At 49.4% G+C, this 24315-nt stretch overlaps 2 long non-coding RNA genes across 2 annotated transcripts in view; one reads left to right on the top strand and one right to left on the bottom strand.

The window, feature by feature from the left end:
- LOC107987389 (family with sequence similarity 230-like) overlaps positions 1-9732 on the top strand; it is a 29391-nt gene extending 19659 nt beyond the window's left edge. The window contains exons 9-13 of the long non-coding RNA NR_166643.1: positions 549-3162; positions 3696-3768; positions 3995-4035; positions 4498-4652; positions 9293-9732. This is a non-coding gene — a long non-coding RNA (family with sequence similarity 230-like). The remainder of the gene's footprint in view (positions 1-548; positions 3163-3695; positions 3769-3994; positions 4036-4497; positions 4653-9292) is intronic.
- A 628-nt stretch (positions 9733-10360) lies between these two features.
- LOC105379548 (uncharacterized) lies at positions 10361-21673 on the bottom strand. Its single transcript, XR_951363.3, has 2 exons — positions 21033-21673; positions 10361-10986 (listed from the first exon to the last, which is right to left on the bottom strand). It is a non-coding gene; the product is annotated as an uncharacterized LOC105379548 (long non-coding RNA).
- Between the last annotated feature and the right edge of the window lie 2642 nt (positions 21674-24315).

Below are 24315 nucleotides of genomic sequence, written 5' to 3'. Positions count from 1 at the left end.
TTATTATCATCCAGGTAATCAGGTGCAACCCAGTCTGCCTAGCAGCCCCCCTATCTCTGCTCTGTGTTTTCATTTAATAAACATTTTGGTCTACTTACTATGTGCTAGATTTTCTCGAGACCAAGTAAATGAGATAGAATCTTTATGCTGGCAGCTAAGTTAGATTTCACATAACTGACAAAAATTAAAATTTCTGATTTCTTGTAAAAACATTTTGTATGTGTGAATGCATACTGAATGTAAAGTGGATAAAAAACTCACACTTGCACTCATGGAAGGCTTTTCATGAATTTGTCAATTTTTATTTTTTATATTTCCCCACTTCACCAGATAATGCATACCTGAACCTGGAAACTGATTCCCACTGCAGAAAGTGTTCTGAGCCACATCCCTTAGCTTCACTAGTGCAGGTCCACCTGGGAGGATGTCCCAGCATCAGCTTGACCCATGCTGTGATCAGCCACCTCCATGCATCACACCAAGCAAGCCCCTGGGTGATTCACAGTCTCCACCACCAGGGCACTGACCTTAACTCTGTGTTTTTCTAGCTCCCCATGAGGACACCGTACACGACATCACTAACGAGGACGCCACACACGACATCGCTAACGAGGATACTGTACACGACATCGCTAACGAGGCCGCCGACAAGGGCATCGCCAACGAGGATGCCGCCCACAGCATCGCCAACGAGGACGCCGCCCACGGCATCGCCAGCGAGGACGCCGCCCACGGCATCGCCAGCGAGGACGCCGCCCACGGCATCGCCAGCGAGGACGCCGCCCAGGGCATCGCCAACGAGGACGCCGTCCAGGGCATCGCCATGGAGGACGCCGTCCACGGCATCGCCAACGAGGACGCCGCCCAGGGCATCGCCAACGAGGACGCCGCCCAGGGCATCGCCAAGGAGGACGCCGCCCAGGGCATCGCCAACGAGGACGCCGCCCAGGGCATCGCCAAAGAGGACGCCGCCCAGGGCATCGCCAAGGAGGACGCCGCCCAGGGCATCGCTAACGAGGCCGCCGACAAGGGCATCGCCAACGAGGATGCCGCCCACGGCATCGCCAGCGAGGACGCCGCCCACGGAATCGCCAGCGAGGACGCCGCCCACGGCATCGCCAGCGAGGACGCCGCCCACGGCATCGCCAGCGAGGACGCCGCCCAGGGCATCGCCAGCGAGGACGCCGCCCAGGGCATCGCCAGCGAGGACGCCGCCCAGGGCATCGCCAACGAGGACGCCGCCCAGGGCATCGCCAAAGAGGACGCCGCCCAGGGCATCGCCAAGGAGGACGCCGCCCAGGGCATCGCCAAGGAGGACGCCGCCCAGGGCATCGCCAACGAGGACGGCGCCCACGGAATCGCCAACGAGGACGCCGCCCAGGGCATCGCCAACGAGGACGGCGCCCAGGGCATCGCCAGCGAGGACGCCGCCCAGGGCATCGACAAGGAGGACGCCGCCCAGGGCATCGCCAACGAGGACGCCGCCCAGGGCATCGCCAACGAGGACGCCGCCCAGGGCATCGCCAACGAGGACGCCATCCAGGGCATCGCCAAGGAGTACGCCGTCCACGGCATCGCCAACGAGGACGCCGCCCAGGGCATCGCCAAGGAGGACGCCGCCCAGGGCATCGCCAAGGAGGACGCCGCCCAGGGCATCGCCAAGGAGGACGCCGCCCAGGGCATCGCCAACGAGGACGCCGCCCAGGGCATCGCCAAAGAGGACGCCGCCCACGGCATCGCCAACGAGGACGCCGCCCAGGGCATCGCCAACGAGGACGGCGCCCACGGAATCGCCAGCGAGGACGCCGTCCAGGGCATCGACAAGGAGGATGCCGCCCAGGGCATCGCCAACGAGGACGCCGCCCAGGGCATCGCCAACGAGGACGCCGCCCAGGGCATCGCCAAAGAGGACGCCGCCCACGGCATCGCCAACGAGCTGTATACGACATCGCTAACGAGGACACCCTACAAGCCGTCGCTAACAAGTACACTGTACACAACATCGCTAATGAGGGCACTGTACAAGACATCACCAATGAGGGCGCTTTATACGACATTGCTAATGGCACCGACAAGGCACGCTAACGTGGACGCTGTACACGACATTGCTAATGAGGACAGCGTATAAGACATCGCTAGTAACTATCGCAAGAACAAAAAACCAAACACCGCATATTCTCACTCATAGATGGGAATTGAACAATGAGATCACATGGACACAGGAAGGGGAATATCACACTCTGGGGACTGTTGTGGGGTTGGGGGGGGAGGGATAGCATCGGGAGATATACCTAATGCTAGATGATGAGTTAGTGGGTGCAGCACACCAGCATGGCACATGTATACATATGTAACTAACCTGCACAATGTGCACATGTACCCTAAAACTTAAAGTATATATATATAAAAAAAGACATCGCTAGTGAGCACGCTGTATACGACATCGCTAATGAGGACACCATACAAGGCATCGCTAACGATGACGCTGTACACAACATCACTAATGATGACACCGTATAAGACATCGCTAATTATGACGCTGTATACGACATCGCTAATGACACCGTACAAGGCACGCTAACGAGGATGCTGTACACGACATCACTAATGAGGACAGTGTACAAGCCATCACTAATGAGGACACTGTATATGGCATCGCTAACGAGGACACTGTACAAGGCATTGCTAACGAGGACGCTGTACACAACATCGCTAATGAGGACACCATATAAGACATCACCAATGAGGATGCTGTATATGACATCGCTAATGGCACCCACAAGGCATGCTAACGAGGACGCTGTAGACGACATTGCTTATAAGGACACCGTACAAGACATCGCTAACGAGGACGCTGTATACGACATCGCTAATGAGGACGTTGTATATGACATCGCTAATGAGGATGCTTTACAAGACATAGCTAATGAGGTTGCTGTATATGACATCGCTAATGAGGACATTGTATATGACATCGCTAATGAGGACGCTCTATACGACATCACTAATGAGGACGCTGTATACAACATCGCTAATGAGGACGCTGTATATGGCATCGCTAATGAGGATGCTGTATACGAATTCGCTAATAAGGACGCTGTATATGACATTGCTAATGAGGACACTGTACAAGACATCTGTAAAAAAGAAGATGCTGCCAATGTAAGACACTTTTCTTTGTCTTGAACAGAAATGTTACTTTCCTGGCTTCTTTCCAATCAGATGTAGACATGAACATCTGCCAGTGTGCATTATCGATGTCATCTGCAGTTTAATCAAATGTAGACATGAACATCTGCCAATGTGGACTATTTATGACATCTGCAATTCCCTTGGTGTGGTGCTATTGATTGGCAGCCTCTCACCAACCCATGCCAGGCACACTGGGGTGTGGTAGATGGCAGCATCCACGATCCACTGCAATGCAGAGGTGTTTCCCTCCACAGCAGTTTTCCCCCATGGATTAAGAGTTGTGAAACTGCCAATCTAGATACACTTTAAAGATAAATTCTGTGGGAAAAGGTCTTGTCTTTTCCACAGGTGTCTTCCGTGCCAGTTTTGGGGGACTTCGACCTTTGACTCAATCACTATACCCCTTCCTATTTTCTCTCTCAAGTTGTCGAGAGACTATCAGATCTGTGTGACGTGTATGGCATCATTTCACCCTCCTAATGTTTTCTTTTCTATAATTGCAGGAGCCATTGACACTGGAGAATGATACGTACCCTGAAATAACTCACTTCCTGAGGAAAAAGCGCCATCTCTAGGGTACAGAAACCTGATTCTGGGCTCCTTTTGGGAAGGAGGATTTGGGGTCTGGTGAGAGCAAATGATTTTGCAAGTATAAAACCATGTCCAGAGAGGCTGTAGGGATATCTGTGGGCCCAGAGGAAACACCAGGGGATCCTGTGCGAAGCACCATGGCTTCAGCTAGGGTGGGAGGAGTGGGTGGGCCTCTCTCTAATGACTTATCCTGGTGTTTGTGTTTCTAAAGATTTGATTGTGGAGAGCATATCTGATGATGGGGATTTGTAGGTAGGTAACTGCTTTCCACGTAAGATCCAATTGGAGAGAGTTCCCAGGGGCCTTCGGGGTATCCATGCTGCTTGGGAGGTTAAGGGAGGGGGCATGAAATCAAAACGAAACAGGAAATATGTGTCATATTGGATTTGGTCTTTTCCGGGTTTATTGGCATAATAGTTGGAACTGTCTCTCTGGGCTATGAGGGTGCTGTGTTATTTAAAGGTGGTCTTTCCCAGAACACCTGGCCTTTTCTTTTCTGCCTCTGCCAAACATCACAGCCTTTGGGTTGGATTAGTCAGCACCCCTTGGGATTGTGCAGAAGAGGTTTGGGGTTGCATCGAGTGTCACCTGTGGTGAACAGAATCTGAGGGACACAACTCTCTCACAGGCACTTCCTCCAACCTGGAGACAGAGTTCTCCTGGTGTGTGCCCAGGGGTGGAGGAGAAATTGACAGTCTGCCTCTGAACTTTCAGGACTTTAAAAAGCACTCATGTTTCCATCCTCACTGTTGACTCCTGGCTTAAAGGGATCTCCCGGGGTGAGTGAGGAGGCGGGATCGGACCCTGGCAGTCTGACGGCAGCACCTGTGTTCCTCTGCACTGGGCCGTGGATGACATTACACACCTTGGTGAGAATCAGGAATTGAGGCTAACCACATCTGAAATTGAGATGGGCCTTGAGTCATATAAATAGTTTGGAAAAGATGCATTTTACTACGCTATTGAAAGAAACCATTTATTTCTCACTCCAGCAGGATAAATGGTTTTCAGTATCCATTTAACTGCTCATTGACTCTTACTGTAGATGAGGAGGTGGCCAGCAGCCCCTGCCCTCCCCCAGTTGGTAGGCCCAAGGTAACCAGCAATTGACTGGATATAATGGAAGAGTGGTGCATTCGGAGGTATCTGTATTAATGGGACCCACATGATATGGATGAGAGCTATTAGGGTGAGAAAAAGCCTGGGAGCACAATGAAATATTTAAATATTAAACAAAACATTGTTGAAATCTCCATTGTACTTTAGTAGTTGAAGTCATTCTTGTGGTCATCACTGCCTTTCCCAAGCATAACAAGCTACTTAATATCACATGGACCCGTGCCATGAGGAATGATGATCAGTTTGTAAAATGCCAATAAAACAATTGCCTATATAAGCCACAATGTTTCATCCATATATTTCAATTTCCATGTGTAAGTATAGTTCAAATTTCAGAAATTTATTATTATCTAATAGAATATGCATGGTATATCAATGAGCAATTATCATACTGTTTCTATTAACAATTATTTGTATGATGAAAAAAGCAGACTCCCATTCTTGGATTTTTCTCAGTTTGCACACATTAGCATGACAGCCCCATTTCCACCTGACATGTGCCAGCAAGAGGCCAGGAACAGAGGCTTTTCTTATTAACTAAGATTTCTAAATGTATTACGTATTCACATTTAGAAACTCTAAATATCATAAAAGGTTAGCAAGGAAGTTTCCCTTCCACTCTGAACTTCCAAACACCAAGTCAACATTTTTGTTTGCATATCATCCCTGCAATCTATGTGCAAATAGAAGCATGCACCTGGAATGCAGGCTGATGTGTGATCGTGTTTACACAAAGTCCTCTGCACCTCTGCATATATCACTGGGCAATGCACCTTAGTTATCATTCCACATTTCAAATGTAAATCCATTGTATTGTTTCAGAGCTATAAAGTACTGCACCCCATGACTATTCCCAAAATTACTTAAGCACCCCGCTATGGGTATCCATTTGTTCTGTTTCCAGTCTTGCTCTTATAACCAATGCTGTAGTGAACAGCACTGTGTTGAGAAGCGGTGAACGTGGGCATCTTTGTCTTGTTCCCTTCCTCAGGGGGAATGCTTTCAACTCTCCCCCATTCAGGAAAATGTTGGCTGTGGGTTTGTCATAGATAGCTTTTATTACCTTAAGGTATGTCCGTTCTACGCTGATTTTGATGAACGGTTTTAATCATAAAGAAATGCTGGATTTTGTCAAAGGCTTTTTCTGCATCTATTCAGATTATCATGTGATTTTTGTTTTTAGTTTTATTGATGTGATGTATCACATTTATTGACTTGCGTATGTTAAACCATCCCTGCATCCCTAGTATGAAACCCACTTGAATCATGGTGGATTATCTTTTTGATATGCTGTTGGATTCAGTTAGCTTGGTTGTAGCATTTCTTATTATTCCATCTGTGGAATGTATTGGTTGAAATAATGAAAACATGTTCTATCCTCACTGCTTAGCACTTTGTGTTTCTTTAATAGCCTTCCCAACAGGGCAACATAAAAGCAGGAGCCCTGCTAGTCTCCCCTTAACCCGGAATCCCCCCTTCTCCACAGCTCGCTCATTGGACAGGATAGACTGGGCGCCCAGGCTTCAAGGTAAGGACGTGCTCTGTCACCTAGAGGTGCAGTGCTTGGGAAGGCCAACCTTGGAGGGTTGCCTGCCAGCTTTACAGTGACAGAGGTGTTGAGAGGGACTGACCACCAGTGCATAAGGCTGTGCTTTGTTGGTGACATAAAGGATTGTTTCACAGATTGTTGGGGAGGGACAATCCCAAGGCCTCCCCTGGCCCTGGTGCTGGCTCTGCACAAAGGCAATAAGAGAGGGATGCTGGTAAGGGCTGACCTGTTGCTGTGCTGGGGAGGAAGGTGCTGGGCTGAAATTCAGGAGGCTGAGGATGCAGCAGTCCCATAGGAGGTACATGACCTTCAGGATACATTTTCTTCATTGATGATCAATGGAAATGAGAAATCACTGACTATTTTTTCTATCATTGGAATCTACTCTCCACTGCTCATGCTGTTCCTGTCTTTTGGGGAAGATGGAGGATCAATCAGTGTGCGCTGCACTGAGTGGAAGGAAGGAGAACTGTGACAAAAATTAAGGAAGGATGAGAGACGGGAGGGCCCTTCATCCAGCTGCTTGCAGAGTCCTCCTGAGGAGGAAAGCCCCGTGGCTCCCTGGCGAAGGAGCAGTGAGGGCTGCGTGACTCCCACAGTGAAGTGTGTGGTATGTCTGAGGACACCCAGGCTGGTGGTCCATGAGGAGCCAGTGGCAGAGTGAGAAGAAGAAAGGCCAGGAGGGTGGCTGGAGGCCAGGCTCTGAGTCATTCTCCATGTGATGGAAACAGCCGGAGCCCAGTGGGCTTGGAGGTACAGGATGCGGTGGCTGATGACAGAACAATGTGGAGAGAGGCGTCATTTGTCAAATCCTTACTTTGTTCTGGGCATTGTGCTAAAAATTCTGATGGCTCATCCCATTTAGGGGCTGAAAGTTGCAGAGGTTTAGGAAGCTCACCCACGATACTGGAGCCCCCATCTCCTGCCCTAGTGCTGTCCACCTTCTCACCCAGCCACCACCTGTTTCGGGGGAACACACAGAAGTGGTAACCTCTTATGGAGAGGCAAGTAAATTCTGCTGTTTTTGTTATTCACAGAAAAACACTGGCTCGTGTGGGTTGGGAAGGTGAAATACCAGAAGTATTTCATCTGGTTATTTCTACCCATGCGACTCCTATAGTATTGAAATGCATAGGTTAGCATTTTTGGCCAATTTACTCAGCATTCTGGGTTAAAGGCTTTTATTTATTTTATTTATTTATTTATTTATTTTTGAGATGGGGTTTCACTCTTGTTGCCCAAGCTGGAGTGCAATGGTGCGATCCTGGTTCATTGCAACCTCCGCCTCCCAGGTTCAAACTATTCTCCTGTCTCAGCCTCCCAAGTAGCTGAGATTATAGGCACATGCCACCACACTGGGCTAATTTTTTTGTATTTTTAGTAGAAATGAGATTTCACCATGTTGGTCAGGCTGGTTTCGAACTCCTGACCTCAGGTGATCTGCCCTCCTCGGCCTCTTAAAGTGCTGGGATTACAGGCGTGAGCCACCACGCCTGCCCTAAAGTCTTTTAAAATTCACTTGTATAAGTTGACTTAGTTTTCTTTAACCTTGTAGAAAAATACAAAAATGGCAATCTCTTTTATCACACAAATAATGTCTTTTTAATGGAGTGATTTTTTTCTAATTGAGGTATTATGTACTTTTCATTTACTAATTATTGTTTACATTTGAAGTGTTTTATGAATTAATATTTAATTGCATAGATGAAGATTACTAGTTATAGGCATTTTACTAACCAATACTCATTAAGCATAGCGTGGATTCCTATGACATCAAGGAGCTATTTTATTTGGTAAAACGAAAAAGCACAAGAATGAACGAACGCAAGAACTGAAACAGTGGAGACACCTAGAATGACTTGTCTAAGATCTAAATCATTTTGTTGTCTTCCCAGCGTACTTATTATCCTGATCATTGTCATCAGCATTGTTTGGGTCCTTTTAGCACAGATTTCTCAAAATGGGTAACTCCATAACAGTTGGAAGCTTACGAATTCATATAATTTGTAAGAGGTCAATTTGGAAGTACCTATCTATTTTAAAATTCCAATAACCTGGGAATTTCATCCCATGTCTAGAGTCTTTTATGTAAAATATTTCCACAATTAGGAGAAATATGTGCATGGGGATTTTCTATGTAGCGGTGTTTTGATGGAATAGAAAATTGGGATAAACCAAATTTCCATCACGAAGGAAATAGTAATATGCTGAATAATAATACAGCGAATATTATGCAGGCTTTAAACATCAAAAAAGAGTTCAACTTCTGACTTCCGATGATGGTGTTGAAGCAGGTCACTGCTGGTTTACATTTGATTTTCATGTGGGAACTCTGGAAGTCCGCCTTAGTGATTTTACATGTGGCTAAATTGAGCTAATGACAAGCTGTTCGAAGTATGGCAAAATGGAACTTTAAAACAGTATCTTGTCAACAACCAAGAGGACCTGTTTCACATAAAGCCCACGCATTCATCTGCCTGTCCATCATTCTGTCTGTCCACACGGGCATCATTCATTAGTGGAACTGAGTGCCCGCTGTCGAGCTGACAAGCCCATAACCTCCCTGTTCCTAGTCACACATTAATTCTTCAACAAGTCCCTTTTGATAGATTGTGATTAAGCTTAGCTACTATTTCCAATTGCTTCCCCAAACGTACTTCTCACTGTTCTCCCATCACACCCTTCAGCCCATCCATGCGGGGTTCCTTTGCTTTTCCCACCTTACACCAAACTCCCTATTTTTACTCCCACTTTGACCTCCTCTCCAAGACAAAACAAACAAAACTAGCATTTTAAAACTTAGTTGTAATCTTTCTTCCTTCATGAAAATTTCTCCAACAGCCACTCCCACGGTCCTGTGTGTTCCGGATATTTTAAAATAATGGCTATAAGGTTGAGCACTTCAGGATACGCTGTTTTGCTGTGTGCAGATGGAGGCAGTGGCTGGAGTGAATGAACGGCAACACTTGCTGGCAACCGGCAGAAGCTGAGAGACAGGGAACAGGCTCTCCTCCAGAGCCTCCAGGAGCCAGGCCTTTGGACACCTTGAATGTGGGCTTCTGGGAGACCATGCGTTTCTGTTATAAGCAGCCCAGTCTCTGGCAGTTTTTACGGCTGCCCCGGAACACTCATCTATACCTGTCTGACAAGGTCAAGCTCCAAGGAAGGGACTCTCTACATATCTACATTGTTTGCAGATTTTACAATAATCATTTATTCTTGCATGGCTGATCATTGTTAACCAATACAAATAAAATAATAAAGAAATGACCCACATTTTATGTTGGGAGTTTGATCTGCCATTTATCAAGTATGGAATCTTGAACAAGGGGTTAAACATCTGAATGTCTCCATCACTTCATCTCTAAAGTGGGGGTGCTCACACCCACTGGGCTCCCCCGCCCAGGTTGGTGCCGGACTCTCCCTGGGCCCCCCTGTTCTCTCACCAGCCACATCCATTCTCCCCCCAGAGGCGCTAGTGACTGTGCGTGGCTTTCCATTCCCACCACGTTTGTCTCTAACCCCAGTGGCAGATCAGTGTAAGAACACAGCTGAGTGCTCCTCGCCTCCTTGCCCCTTCAAGGGCTCCTCACCACCCACCAGATCAGGTGCAAACTTCCAAGCCTTACTGGATCCCCTTCCACATTCTGAGCTCCGCCTGCCTTCCCATCGCTATCCTTCCCCACCTGCCTCCCTGGTAGAGAAAAGCAGAGTGTGTGATGCTGTCTGAATGCTGAGCACGGCCTTTTGCAGCCAGTCCACTGTGTACGCTGCCCCTATCGGAGACCTCCACCTTAACCCTTTCCAGCCTGGAGGCTCCTCCCAGGGCCCCACAACAGAAGTGACTTCCCTTGCCTTTGAATTTCTATAACACAAGCCCTACTGCCCCCCGTTAAAACTGCAAAGTCCTTTTGTGGAAAATAACTTTATTCATGACTGTGTTTATCACACTATCTTATGGAGAAGAGATGATCAATAAATATTTGCTGAATAAATGAATAGCAGTTACAAAACACTTGATTCATATGGAATTAATGTTGGTTCTCAAAGTGAAAAATTACAAACAGCACTGATATTCAGCCAGTATACAAGTCTGGTCACAGCAGTTGTATAATACTGAAATACCCCCTGCCACTGACCTTTGGCCCCCAGATGCCTCCCACTGCCACTGCTCTCCCCACTGGGAACCCCTGAAGTTCCCACAGGCTCATAACTAAAGGGCTAATGTCTCGCACAGCAGCGAGCACCCAGGACCGAGCAGCCACATGGCCGGGTCTGCTGGTGAAAGCATCCATTCTGACTGATCAGGACCTGAGGGGCCTCATGGTTACATATTTTGATAATATCCCTAATTATAAATAAGGCTCAGTTATATAGTTTGAAAACAATGCTTCTCCTCATTGCAAAATCTCTTAGAAGACTCCGTAGATCCAGGAACGGAAATGGAAAATGACAGCGTGTCAATCTCTGAAGGTTTTGGGCATTTCCATTAGCACTCCATCTTCATGTAAACCAGAAGATATGCAGTTTCCTGCCTAGAGAGAAGAGAAGACACATCAGCACAGCGGCATGAAACCTTCATCAGAAAACAATGCTTCATTAATCCGTGACAGGACAAGCGTCAGCAAACTTCCAGGCGGCTGGATTAGGCCTTCATCTATCCATCACCTTGGAGAGGAACAAAATAGGTGGCCTGGGAAGTTAAGCACTATGTTTCTATTAGTTAATATCTAAAGCGGAGGTTAACAAGCTATGGACACACAAGCCAAACCCAGCCCTCTTGGGGTTTTTTAAATCTACTTTCAACTTTTATTTTAGATTCAGCGGGCACATGTGCAGGTTTGTCACGTGGATATGAGCATACTCCCCAACAGTTGGCCTTTCACCCCTCCCCTCCCTCCCCATCCAGCAGTTCCCAGTTGTTGCCATCTTTAAGTCAATGAGTCCCCATGTTTAGCTCCCATTTATAAGAGAGAACATGCATTATGTTTTGTTTGGTTTTTGCTGGTTTTTTTTTTTTTTTTTTTAATGGAGTCTTGCCCTGTAGCCCAGGCTAGAGTGCAGTGGCACAACCTTGGCTCACTGCAACCTCCGCCTCCCAGGTTCAAACGATTCTCCCTCCTCAGCCTCCCGAGTGGCTGGGACTACAGGCGCCCGCCACCACGCCCGGCTAACTTTTTGTATTTTTAGTAGAGACAGGGTTTCACCGTGTTAGCCAGGATGGTCTCAATCTCCTGACCTCATGATCTGCCCACCTCAGTCTCCCAAAGTGCAGGGATTACAGGCGTGAGCCACCGTGCCCAGCCTTTTGTTTATTTTTTGATGAGACCGTTCTTGCTCTGTCACCAGGCTGGAGTGCACTGGCACAATAATAGCTCACCACAGCCTCGTGCTCCTGGGCTCAACTGACCCTCCTGCCTCAGTTTTAGCTTCCTGAGTAGCTAGGACTACGGGTGTGTACCACCATGCCTAGCTATAATAATTTTTATTTTTTTGTAGAGATGGAGTCTTGCTTTGTTGCCCAGGCTGGTCTTGAACTCCTGGCTTGAAGTGATCCTCCTGCCTCGGCCTCCCAAAGTGCCGGGATTAAAGGTGGGAGATCGCACCCAGTCTCCAACCCTCTTTTTGCAAGTAAATGTAACTGGACCCCAGCCATGCTCATCTGCCCATGTACTGTCTGCGGCTGCTTTTGCTCTACAGGGCAGAGTTAAGTGGTTGCAACAGACACCGCACAGACCACAAAGTCTGAAGTACTTTCTCTCCAGCCCTTTACAGAGAAAGTCTGCCAACCTCTGATCTCAATAACAGGGAAATCAATGACAACCACAAAGTGACAAAGATTGGGTGTCTAAGATGGATGTTCAGAATAAACAAGAGAGAAAGATGAGAAGTAGAAGGAGGATTTCAAACGCAAGCTTCACCTAATCCGTTATTTTTCAAATGACCAGGCCTATCTCTGTAGCCGAAAATCACCTCAAATAGGATCTCTGATATACAGTCTCCAAAAGCTCAGCTAAGAAACTTACAAAGTCTCTCTGCCTTAACTTCATCCACCTTTTTTCTCTCCAGCTTCTCCTCGGTAGTTAATGATTATAAAAATATTTATTGGCTCATGCCTGTAATCCCAGCACTTTGAGAGGCCGAGGCGGGCAGATCACGGTCAGGAGATCGAGACCATCCTGGCTAACACGGTGAAATCCCGTCTCTACTAAAAATACAAAAAATTAGCCAGGCGTGGTGGCGGGCGCCTGTAATCCCAGCTACTCAGGAGGCTGAGGCAGGAGAATGGCGTGAACCCACAAGGCGGAGCTTGCAATGAGGCGAGATCCCACTACTGCACTCCAGCCTGGGCGACAGAGCAAGACTCCATCTCAAAACAAACAAACAAACAAACAAACAAACAAAAAAACAGTGTGATGGCCAGGCGCAGTGCTCATGCCTATAATCCAAGCACTTTGGGAGGCTGAAATGGATGGATGGCTTGAGCCCAGTAGTTTGAGACAAGCCTGGCAACATAGCGAGACCTCATCTCTACAAACATCTTTAAAATATGCCAGGCATGGTGGTGCATGCCTGTAGTCCCAGCTATTCAGGAGGCTGAGGTGGGAGGATCACCTGTGCCCGGGAGTTCAAGGCTGCAGTGAGCTATGATCACACCACAGTGCTCCAGCCTGGGCAACAAAGCAAGACTCCATCTCTAAAAATAAAATAAAATTAAAAAAAAAGATCTTCGCTGTAAAAGAGGTACGCTCAAATGCAATAAAAGCATATAAGAAGGCCGGGTGTGGTGGCTCATGCCTGTAATCCCAGCACTTTGGGAGGCCGAGACGGGCGGATCACGAGGTCAGGAGATTGAGACTATCCTGGCTAACGCGGTGAAACCCCATCTCCTCTAAAAGTACAAAAAAATTAGCTGGGCTAGGTGGCAGGCGCCTGTAGTCCCAGCTACTCAGGAGGCTGAGGCAGGAGAATGGCATAAACCCGGGAGGCAGAGCTTGCAGTGAGCCTAGATCGCACCACTGCACTCCAGCCTGGGTGACAGAGCAAGACTCCGTCTCAAAAAAAAAAAAAAAAAAGAAAAAGAAAAGAAAAGTTCTTCTGACATTTGTGTATGAAATCAGCCTTCACTACATGGATAGGACCAGCACGCTTCTGCGGCACGACTCTGCAATCTTACTACATTTTTTTTTACTTTGTATTTTATTTATTCCTTTTGAGACAGAGTCTCACTCTGTCACCCAGGCTGAAGTGCAGCCGAGATCTCGGCTCACTGCAACCTCCACCTCTTGGGTTCAAGCAATTCTCTTGTCTCAGCCTCCCAAGTAGCTGGGACTACAGGCACACGTCAAAACGCCCGGCTAATTTTTGTATTTTTAGTAGAGATGGAGTTTTGCCATATTGGTCAGGCTGGTCTCGAACTCCTGACCTCAGGTGATCGACCTGTCTTAGCCTCCCAAAGTGCTAGGATTGCAGGTGTACATTTATTTATTTATTTGAGATGGAATCTTGCTCTGTATTTATTAATTTATTTATTTGAGATGGAGTCTTGCTCCATCGCCCAGGCTAGAGTGCAGTGGTGCAATCTCGGCTCATTGCAACCTCTGCCTTCCAGGTTCAAGCGATTCTCCTGCCTCAGTGTCCCAAGTAGCTGGGATTACAGGTGCCTGCCACCACAGCTGGCTAATTTTTGTATTTTTAGTAGAGACAGTGTTTCACCATCTTGGCCAGGCTGGTCTCGGGCTCCTGACCTCATGAACCACCTGCCTCAGCCTCCCAAAGTGTTGGGATTACAGGCCTAAGGCACCATGCTCGGCCATATTTATTTATTTAATTATTTAGAGACAAAGTCTTGCTCTGTCACCCAGGCTGGAGTGCAGTGGCACCATCTCAGCTCACTGCAGCCTCCGCCTCCGAGGTTTAAGCAATTCTCATGCCTCAGACTCCTGAGTAACTGGGACTACAGATACTTGCCACCACGCAGGGATTTTTTTTTTCTATTTTTTTGTAGAGACACAGTTTCACCATGTTGGCCAGGCTGGTCTCGAACTCCTGACCTTAGGTGATCTGACAGCCTCGTCCTCTCAAAGCACTGGGATTACAGGCATGAGCCCCTTGCCCGGCCTCTCACTACGTTTAAGTGACGCCATGGCTCATGCCTGTAATCCTAGCACTTTGGGAGGCCAAGGCAGGTGGATCACCTGAGGTCAGGAGTTCGACACGAGCCTGGCCAACATGGGGAAACCCTGTCTCTAGTAAAAATACAAAAATTAGTCAGGCGTGGTGGTACAAGCCTGTAGGCCCAGCTACTTGGAAGACTGAGGCAGGAGAATCACTTTAACCGGGAGGCAGAGGTTGCAGTGAGCCAATATCATGCCACTGCACTCCAGCTTGGGTGACAGAGTGAGATACTGTCTCAAAAAAAAAGAAAAAAAAAGAGAAAAACATATGATGCCGGGGCATCTCGGCCTCAATACCTGGGTGAGCACAGTCATGTCCAGGCCAGGGCTGCTGGTCGAGGTCCGGCCCCATCTCTTCCAGCAGAAAGGGAGTAAGCTTGCAGGGCGGCTGGGGGACAAGATCCCAGGATCTCAGCCTCTGCTCATGGATCAGCTCTGAGACCCCGAGTGAGCTGGGGTGCTCTGTGCGCGTTGGTTTCCCCAGCTGTCAAGTAAAGGGATTGGATGAGGAAGTCTTGTCAAGGTGGAATGATCTCAGATTTGGGGCAGCAGTGAATGATCCCGTTCCCTGGGCCATGCCAGTGGCCCGGCCTCGGCTCAACACAGCCCCAACACTCTGGAATGGGGATGAGGGGGCAGTCAGCTCTTGCTCCTAGTAAGAGAGAAGCAACAGGGCTCTGTGGCTGAGCTGGGTGCCTTGCCTCACACCTGTAATCCCAACCTTTGAGAGGCCGAGGCAGGAGGATTGCTCGAGGCCGGGAATTTTGAGAATAGCCTGGACAACATAGCCAGACCCCATGTCTACAAAATAATAAGAAAACACACAGCTATAGTCCAAGCTACTTGGCAGGCTGAGGCAGGAGGGTCCCTTGAGTCCAGGAATTGGAGGCTGCATTGAGCTATAATCGCACCACTGCACTCCAGCTTGGGTGACAAAGTGAGACCCTGTCTCTAAAAGAAAAAAAAATTGGCCTGTGAGCATGGGCTTGATTTTCAAACAGGACCCGGAGGGTAGGGTAAACATGTGGGTAAATCTAAATGAATGTTATTGGTATAAAATTACAGTAGTATAGAAAATGATATCTTGTGGGGTTTAAAAGAAATAAAACATACTGAAATATGTATGGGTACAGTTATATATCTGGGATTTGCACTGAAATAATGTGGGGTAGAGGGAAGCAGGAAAGAGTATACATGAAATGAGCTTGGCCATAAGATTGTTGTTGAAATTGAATGGATACTCGGGGCTTCATTACACAATTCTCTTTACTCTTACATAGCTCTACACTCTCAACATAAATAAGAATAAAAACACAAAAAACACACAGATACATCTATGCACACACACATATTTAAAATACACAAAAATATTAGCATATAAGTCACTGGGGGTAAATTTAGTTCCTGTTCCAAGGTTCTTGTACTGACTAGGAAGAGGATAGAAGTACTAACTCATAGGCTGGGTGCGGTGGCTCACGCCTGTAATCCCAACACTTTAGGATGCCGAGGTAGGCAGATCTCTTAAGGTCAGGAGTTCAAGACCAGCCTGGCCAACATGGTGAAACCCTGTCTCTACTGAAAAAGAATACAAAAATTGGCCGGGCATAGTGGTGCACACCTGTGGTCCCAGCTACTCAGGTGACTGAGGCAGGAGAATTGCTTGAACCCAAGAAGTGGAGGTTGCAGTGAACCAAGATTGCTCCACTGCACTCCAGCCTGGGCAGCAGAGGAAGACTCTCTCTATCTCAACCACAACAAAAAGTACTAGCTCATGTTAGACTTTGATAAGTGAAGGATGCGTGTTGTAAGCTCTAAAATAATCCAGTCATCTTTTAAAAGAACTCTAAGACTGCACAGTTATGAAACTAATAGAGAAGGAGGAAATTAAATAATAAAAATAATAAATCCAAAACAAGATGTGAGAGGAGATAAGAAGAAATAGAATAGGCATGGAAAACAAATTGGTGGTGGGTTTCAACCCAAATAAATCATTAGTTACATTTAAAAGGACAATAAAAATTAAAATAATTGAAAATAAAGTAAAACCCAACTAATGCCTTTTATATAAGGATACAGAGAGGTGGAAGATCATGAAAAATATGTCATGCATGTACTAACCAAGAAAGCTGTATAACTTTTTTTTTTTTTTTTTTTTTTTTTTGGAGATAGAGCCTCACTCTGTCTCCCAGGCTGGAGTGCAGTAATGTGATCTTGGCTTACAGCAATCTCTCCCTTCTAGGCTCAAGCGATTCTCCCACCTCAGCATCCCAAGTAGCTGGGACTACAAGTGTGCCAACTTAGAATTATATTAGCCACACCCAGCTAATTTTTGTATTTTTTGTAGAGGCAGGGTCTCGCCATGTTGCCCAGGTTGGTCTTGAACTCCTGGGCTTCAGTGATCCACCCACCTCGACCTCCAGCAAAGTGCCAAGATTACAGCCATGAGCCACCATGCCCAGCATAACTATTTTTAATGAAGTAGACTTTAAGAAGAAAAGTATTATTAGAGGTAAGAGACACATCACAGAAAAGAAGAATTTACTAGGAGCCAGGCGCAATGGCTCGTGCCTGTAATTCCAGCACTTTGTGAGGCCAAGGCGGCGGATCACCTGAGGTTGGGAGTTCAAGACCAGCCTGACCAACATGGAGAAGCCCTGTCTCTACTAAAAATACAAAAATTAGCCAAGCATGGTGGCACATGCCTGTAATCCCAGCTACTCAGGAGGCTGAGGGAGGAGAATTGCTTGGACCCAGGAAGTGGAGGTTGCGGTGAGCTGAGATTGTGCCATTGCATTCCAGCCTGGGCAACAAGAGCAAAACTCTGTCTCAAAAAAAAAAAAAAAAAAAAGAAGTTACTAGCTAGTTTCGGTAATTCTTAACAACCAGGAAACTGGATGTGAAAGTTTTTCAGAGAAACTAAACCAATAGATTATACATAGAGAGAGATTTATTTAGGAATTGGCTCACATGATTGTGGGGACTAGCAAGTTTTAAAATCTGTAGGGCAAGCCAGCAGGCTATAAATTCAGGTAAGAGTTGATCTCGAAGTCTGGAACCTAAAATCTGTAGAGCAGTCAGCAGGCCAGAAACTCAGGCAGGGTTTGTGTGTTACAGTCTTGAAGCAGAATTCCTGCTTCTCTGGGAAACCTCAGTTTTTGTTCTTAAGGCCTTCAACTGATTGGAGGTGGCCCACCCATATTATGGTGGGTAATCTGTTTTACTTAAAGTCAATTGACTGTCAGTGTTAATCACATCTATGAAATAACCTCCCAGCAAGATATTGACAAGTATTTGACCAAACAACAGGACACCATAGCTTAGCCAAGTTGACACATAAATTAACCATCAGGAGCAAGTAGAATATCCAAAAAACAACATACTAGGGGTATTATATCTTATATAGCTATTATAATTATATAAAACATATAATTATAGAATGACGATATTAAGATAACCATTAGAACAAAAATATAAACTTTTCTTTCTTTCTTTTTTTTTTTTTTTGAGACCAAGTCTTGCTCTGTCACCCAGGCTGGAGTGCAGTGGTGCAATCTTGGCTTACTGCAACCTTTGCCTCCTGCGTTCAAGTGATTCTCCTGTCTCAGCCTCCCAAGTATCTGGGATTACAGGCACCTGCTACCATGCCCAGCTAATTTTTGTATTTTTAGTAGAGACATGGTTTCACCATGTTGCCCAGGCTGGTCTCCAACTCCTGACCTCAAGTGAGCCACCCCCCTCGGCCTCCCAAAGTGCTGGGATTACAGGTGTGAGCCACCACACCCAGCCAAAAATCACCTTTTTTACAAGGATCAAAACAGTCATTATGCTGGAGATGACAGACCTCACTGTCACCATGCTCCTTTTGTATGTCTACTAGGCACGGTGCTGGGTCCACACTCACAGAAACCTTAGGAACTCGCACCCAGGGGCTCCGGCTGTAGCAGAATCCCAAGAATAAAACCTGGTGCTGAAAGAGTAGGAGATGAGGCCGGGTGCCATGACTCACTCCTGTAATGCCAGCACTTTGGGTGGCCAAGGCGGGTGAATCAAGAGATAGAGACCATCCTGGCCAACACGGTGAAACCCTGTCTCTACTAAAAATACAGAAATTAGCGGGGCGTGGTGGCTGGCACCTGTAGTCCCAGCTACTCAGGAGGCTGAGGCAGGAGAATCATTTGAACCGAGGAAGCAGAGGTTGCAGTAAGCTGAGATCGCGCCACTGCACTCCAGCCTGGTGACAGAGTGAGACACCGTCACAAAAAAAAAAAAAAAAGCAGGACACTGAACTCTGGGAGGGCCTCCTGGTGAGAGGTGAGCACAGAGGGGAGAGATGGAGGCAGGAGCATGGGCTTCTGGTGGCCCCAGCAGACCCTGTGGCAGCGTGGCCAGGGTCCTCTGCAGGGAGGAATCTTGGCCAGGATGACGCTGTAGCAGGCCTCTTCCTGAGGCCTCCAGCCAGCCCGGCCAGGGTCCCAGCGTCCAGTGACCCCTGTTTCACAGCAGCAGCTGGGGCCAGCCCCAGGCTCTCTTCCACTCCCAGCTTCTTAAAACTGGAAGTGGAGAGAGTTGTTTGATGAAACACTGGGGCAAACCACATCCTCTCTTCACCAAGGGAGAGTTCGAGGGGATGCCGGCAGAGGGAGCTTTAGAGTAGAGACCCCTACCCAACCAGTGACCGTCACGCACACAGCAGGGCATGCTATGGAGACCCCCAGACAGTCACTCGGGGAGACCCAGCAGGTCCAGACTCTTCAGAGATCTGTGGCAGCAGGTCCCCACTCCCAAAAGCCACGTGCCCACGGGTGGTCTCTGGTGCCTGAGACCCCAGTCTCATTTGCATCTTTGCAACTTCGAGTTTAAGTGGGTGTCGCATCTCTGTATGTCCTCCCGAGCAGAGGAGGGGCACAGCCTGGGGTGGCAGCTGGCGTCAAACCCTCAAATCCCCTGAGAGCCACTGGGGAGACTAAGCAGTCCCCAGCCCCCACTTGTCCCTGAGCTGCCATTCTCAGCCCTGTGGGAGGAGACAGAAAGCCCTGAAGAGAAACCAAAGGACCAGGTCAGGAGGGGCTGGGGGGGTGGCATGAGCAATCAGGGCAGGGAAGGATGCACAGATGGGGGAATGGAGGGAAGAAGGAATGAATGAAAAGGTGAATGAATGAACAAAGAGAGAGAACGGCCACTCCTCCCTTGCTTTAGTTTACAAAGTACTGGGATCCTCCCAACAGCCTGCAAGACAGAATTTCTGGGAAGCAGACCAGGTGGCTGGCAGGGAGGGGAGGCTTGCCCTGGCTTTTGTGGGCCCAATGGGAGGCAGGGGGCAAGAAGGGGCATCCTGTGTGTGTCCTCCCTGCAGCGGCAGCAGCACCTTCCTGGAAGAGGGTCAGGAAACACCCGCTGTGGCCCCTCTCCACCACGCCCTCATCCAGGACACCAAGTATCAGTCACTCAGCTCACGAGACCCAGGCCCTGACTCAGGGAGAGAGGATGTGAGGGGTGGGGCACCGGGCTCCTCAGGACTGAGAGACCTGAGATGTGGCCCCGGGCTGGGTGTAGGGGCAGACTGGCTATGGCAGCATTGTGTGTACCCCAGCAGGCCAGTACCCACGCAGGGAGCCTCCAAACCCCTTCACCCATGACCCTGGGAGAAGACCGCAGCCTTGGAGAATTGGCCTCACTGAAGGGGCCTGCGCCGGCCAGCAGGGTCAGGCGGGGCCAGACAGGTTCCCACCTGGGATATGCAAATGGGCCTCCTGAATCCTGGAGCCAGGTATGGACTCACACACCACCATTGTCCCCAAGTCCCCATCTGCCCCACGGGCACACCCTGCCGCCTGTTCTGTGCAAGGGCCCTGAGGCTGTCTCCTTGCGCTCAAGCCCTGCAGGTGCTGAAGCCCACACACACGGCTCCTGCTTCCTGGGCCAGTGCACGTGCACACACACACACGTGCACACACACACACACCCCCACAAATATACCCACACACAATCACACACATTCACACATACCCACCCCCCCATACTCACACTCACACATTTACACACACCCACACACCCACACTCACACACTCACAGTCACACACACCCTCACACAGCGAAACACAATCACACACATTCACACCCACCCACACCCCCACACACTCACACTCACATATACTCACACACACCCACACACACATACACAAACACAATCACACACATTCACACACACCCACACTCACACATACACACACCCAAACACGATCACACACATTCACACACACCCACACCCCACAAACACACTCACACATATACCCACACACACTCACACATAATCTCTCACACACACACATGCTCACACACACACGCCTTCTCCAGGAGGGGCTGGCTGCCAAAGGCCACCCAGCTTCCTCCCACGTCTCACTCACCGTACAATATTTGAGAAGACCTTGGAGTCAGCAGCAACAGCGGCGTGGGCAAAGGCCGGGGGTCAAATGGGGCCTGGTGTCGAGAGAGGACCACAGCCAGCACAATGACAGCCAGCGCCAGCCCCAGCCCCAGCCCCAGCAGGACCAGGTCACCCATGGCTCCGTAGTCCTGGGCCATGGCTCTGCGGCCCAGAAGGAGAGGGGAGGCCGGTGGGCAGACGGAGGGACAGATGGGTGGGCAGATGAATGGACAAGAAGATGCATAGATAGACTCACAGGTAATTGGACAGATGGACAAACAGGTGGGGGCTGAAGACAGACACGAAGATGGATCGACAGACAGGCCAGATAGCTAGACAAAGAGGACAGTAAGAGAAAGATGGTCAGATAGACAATGGGACAGAGATGGGCTTACAGATGGGCGGACAGACAGACGGGTCTGAACAGCGGGCTGCCAGATGGACAGATGGGTGAATGGACAGATGGCTGGCAGCTGTGGCGAGCTGCTGCCCTCACCAAGTGCACACTACGGAGTGGCGAAACTCATGCCTCAACTTCTAGTTTTCAGCTCCTGCTTGTTCCTGGCAGGAGGCCAGGCAGCAAAGCGTCTGAGGGGAGTTTTCTTTGCCTAGAGAAGTCAGCTGCTGTGTTAACTCCCTCACTGCTGGTAGGTCCAAAGGCCCCACCTACTGCCCGCCAGAGCCCATGGTCACACTGTCGCAATGTGCAGGAGAACTTGGTGCGTGCTGCACTGCGGTTGCCAGGTAGGGGCAGGGCTCCCTGGAACCTCCACACCATTCCCCAGGTTCTCAGCAGCTCTGGGAAAGCAGAGCTGGGGCCGCTTAACTCTGCCCTGGATCCGGCAAGGCTGCCCCCCTCCCAGAGTGGAGCCCTGCTCCCCAGCTCCCATCTCTATCCCCTAACCCTCTCCGCATGGCCCAGCCTAGTCAGCATCAAGGTGGAGCTGAACAGAGGCAGAAGGAGGAGGACCCAAGGTGGTGTCACTCAGGACCCGGGTTCAAGTCCTTATGTTTCTGCAGCCTGGCCTGGGTCCCCCAACCCCCCCAGGGTGACCAAGGGCTTCCCAGTCTGCACAGAGGACAGGGGGTCTTGACAGCATCAAATGCTGGTGACTATGAGACACTTACATGGGAAATGCAGACAGACCATGCCTCTAGCCCTTGGCACCAGGCACCATCCATCCCTGGGACTTGCTGTCCTGGAAATGCAGCATGGACCTCCAGGGAGGGGGGCTGTGCCATGTGGGGGCCCCACCCCACCTGCAGCTCTTTCCCACCCTGGCTGCAGGTCTGCTTCTCTGAATCCAAATCCGCTACTACTGTGCTGGCAGCGCAGCCTCTCTGGGGACACTGGCCTGGCTCTGTTCTCCCCAGGCCTCAGGGTGCCTAAATGGGAGGCAACCAGGGGAGTGAGGACCCACTGAGGGGCTCCGTTGACCAGGCTCAGCAGGGGTGCAGGTGATGTGGGGTGGAATCCTTCCCACATGGCCCCCACAGTCCTCCCCGCTTCCTCCCCAACTGAACACTGCCTGCTCCAGATGTGTACACCTGGAGTCTGGGCCCCTCCATCTGGGCAGCAGAGAAACTGAGGCACAGAGACAGACTGTGTCCTTACAGGGCACACAGCCTGCCAGGCCCCTATGTCCGGCCAGAGCCCCTGGTCAGCCTGGGCTGCAGTGATTGTTTAGAGGTAGGCTGTTCCCACGGCTGCCTCTCACGGTAGGGGGGCCTGCGGACGCCTCCTCCCGCCCCCACCCGACTCCCAAGCCTCAGTGACATTGCTCAACCAGGAACTGAAGTGCATTCCTGGGCTCAGGCCAGCCCACCCACCCACCCGCTGCAGTCCTGGAAGCCCAGAGGCCTGGGCAGCAGGAACAGTGGAGACAGCAGTGTGGGGGACGTCCCCCCTCCTCTCCCCACCATCCTCGTCAGGCAGAGGCCAGGGTGCAGGGACCACCGGAGCAAAGGCCCAGGGAAATGAATGGGTGTCATTCTGGTCCTGACCCGAGGCACAGCCAGGAAGGTCCCTGTGGGGAAAAGAAAGAGATATCAGACTGTTACTGTGTCTATGTAGAAAGAAGTAGACGTAAGAGGCTCCATTTTGTTGTGTAGTAAGAAAAATTCTTTTGCCTTGAGATGCCGTTAATCTGTAACCCTAGCCCCAACCCTGTGCTCACAGAAACATGTACTGTGTCGACTCAAGGTTTAATGGATTCAGGGCTGTGCAGGATGTGCTTTGTTAAACAAATGCTTGAAGGCAGCATGCTTGTTAAGAGTCATCACCACTCCCTAATCTCAAGTAAGCAGGGACACAAAACACTGCAGAAGGCCGCAGGGACCTCTGCCTAGGAAAGCCAGGTATCGTCCAAGGTTTCTCCCCAGGTGACAGTCTGAAATATGGCCTCGTGGGAAGGGAAAGACCTGACCGTCCCCCAGCCCGACACCTGTAAAGGGTCTGTGCTGAGGAGGATTAGTAAAAGAGGAAGGCCTCTTTGCAGTTGAGATAAGAGGAAGGCATCTCTCTCCTGATCGTCCCTGGGCAAAGGAATGTCTCAGTGTTGATTGTATATTCCATCTGCTGAGATAGGAGAAAACTGCCTTAGGGCTGGAGATGGGACATGCTGGTGGCAATACTGCTCTTTAATGCATTGAGATGTTTATGTATATGCACATCAAAGCATAGCACCTTTTTCTTAACCTTGTTTATGACACAGAGACATTTGTTCACGTGTTTTCCTGCTGACCCTCTCCCCACTATTACCCTATTGTCCTGCCACATCCCCCTCTCTGAGATGGTAGAGATAATGATCAATAAATACTAGGGAACTCAGAGACTGGTGCCAGCGTGGGGCCTCCGTATGCTGAGCGCAGGTCCCCTGGGCCCACTTTTCTTTCTCTATACTTTGTCTCTGTGTCTCTTTCTTTTCTCAGTCTCTTGTCCCAGCTGATGGGAAACACCCACAGGTGTGGAGGGGCAGGCCACCCCTTCAGGTCCCTGAATGTCCTTCCTCAGGAAATGATGGGGGAAGGGGTGATGAGAATGAAGGAGACGATTTAAGTCCCTCACCCCCCGAGGTAGTCCTGGGCTGAGCCCCATGGGACCTAGAGAACCAGGGTGTACCCCACCAGCGTGTCGGGTCCAGGAAGCCTCGTGGCCAGCTCCCACTTCTCTTCCTGCTGTGCAACCCAGAGCAAGGCCTGCCCCTCCAGCTTCAGTCTTCTCCCCTGCAAATGGGGCCACGGCCTTTCCTCTCAGGCCAATA

Source organism: Homo sapiens, assembly GCF_000001405.40.
Source record: "Homo sapiens chromosome 22 unlocalized genomic scaffold, GRCh38.p14 Primary Assembly HSCHR22_UNLOCALIZED_CTG1".
NCBI classification, from domain to species: Eukaryota; Metazoa; Chordata; class Mammalia; order Primates; family Hominidae; genus Homo; species Homo sapiens.
This window is presented reverse-complemented; position numbering and strand designations above follow the sequence as displayed.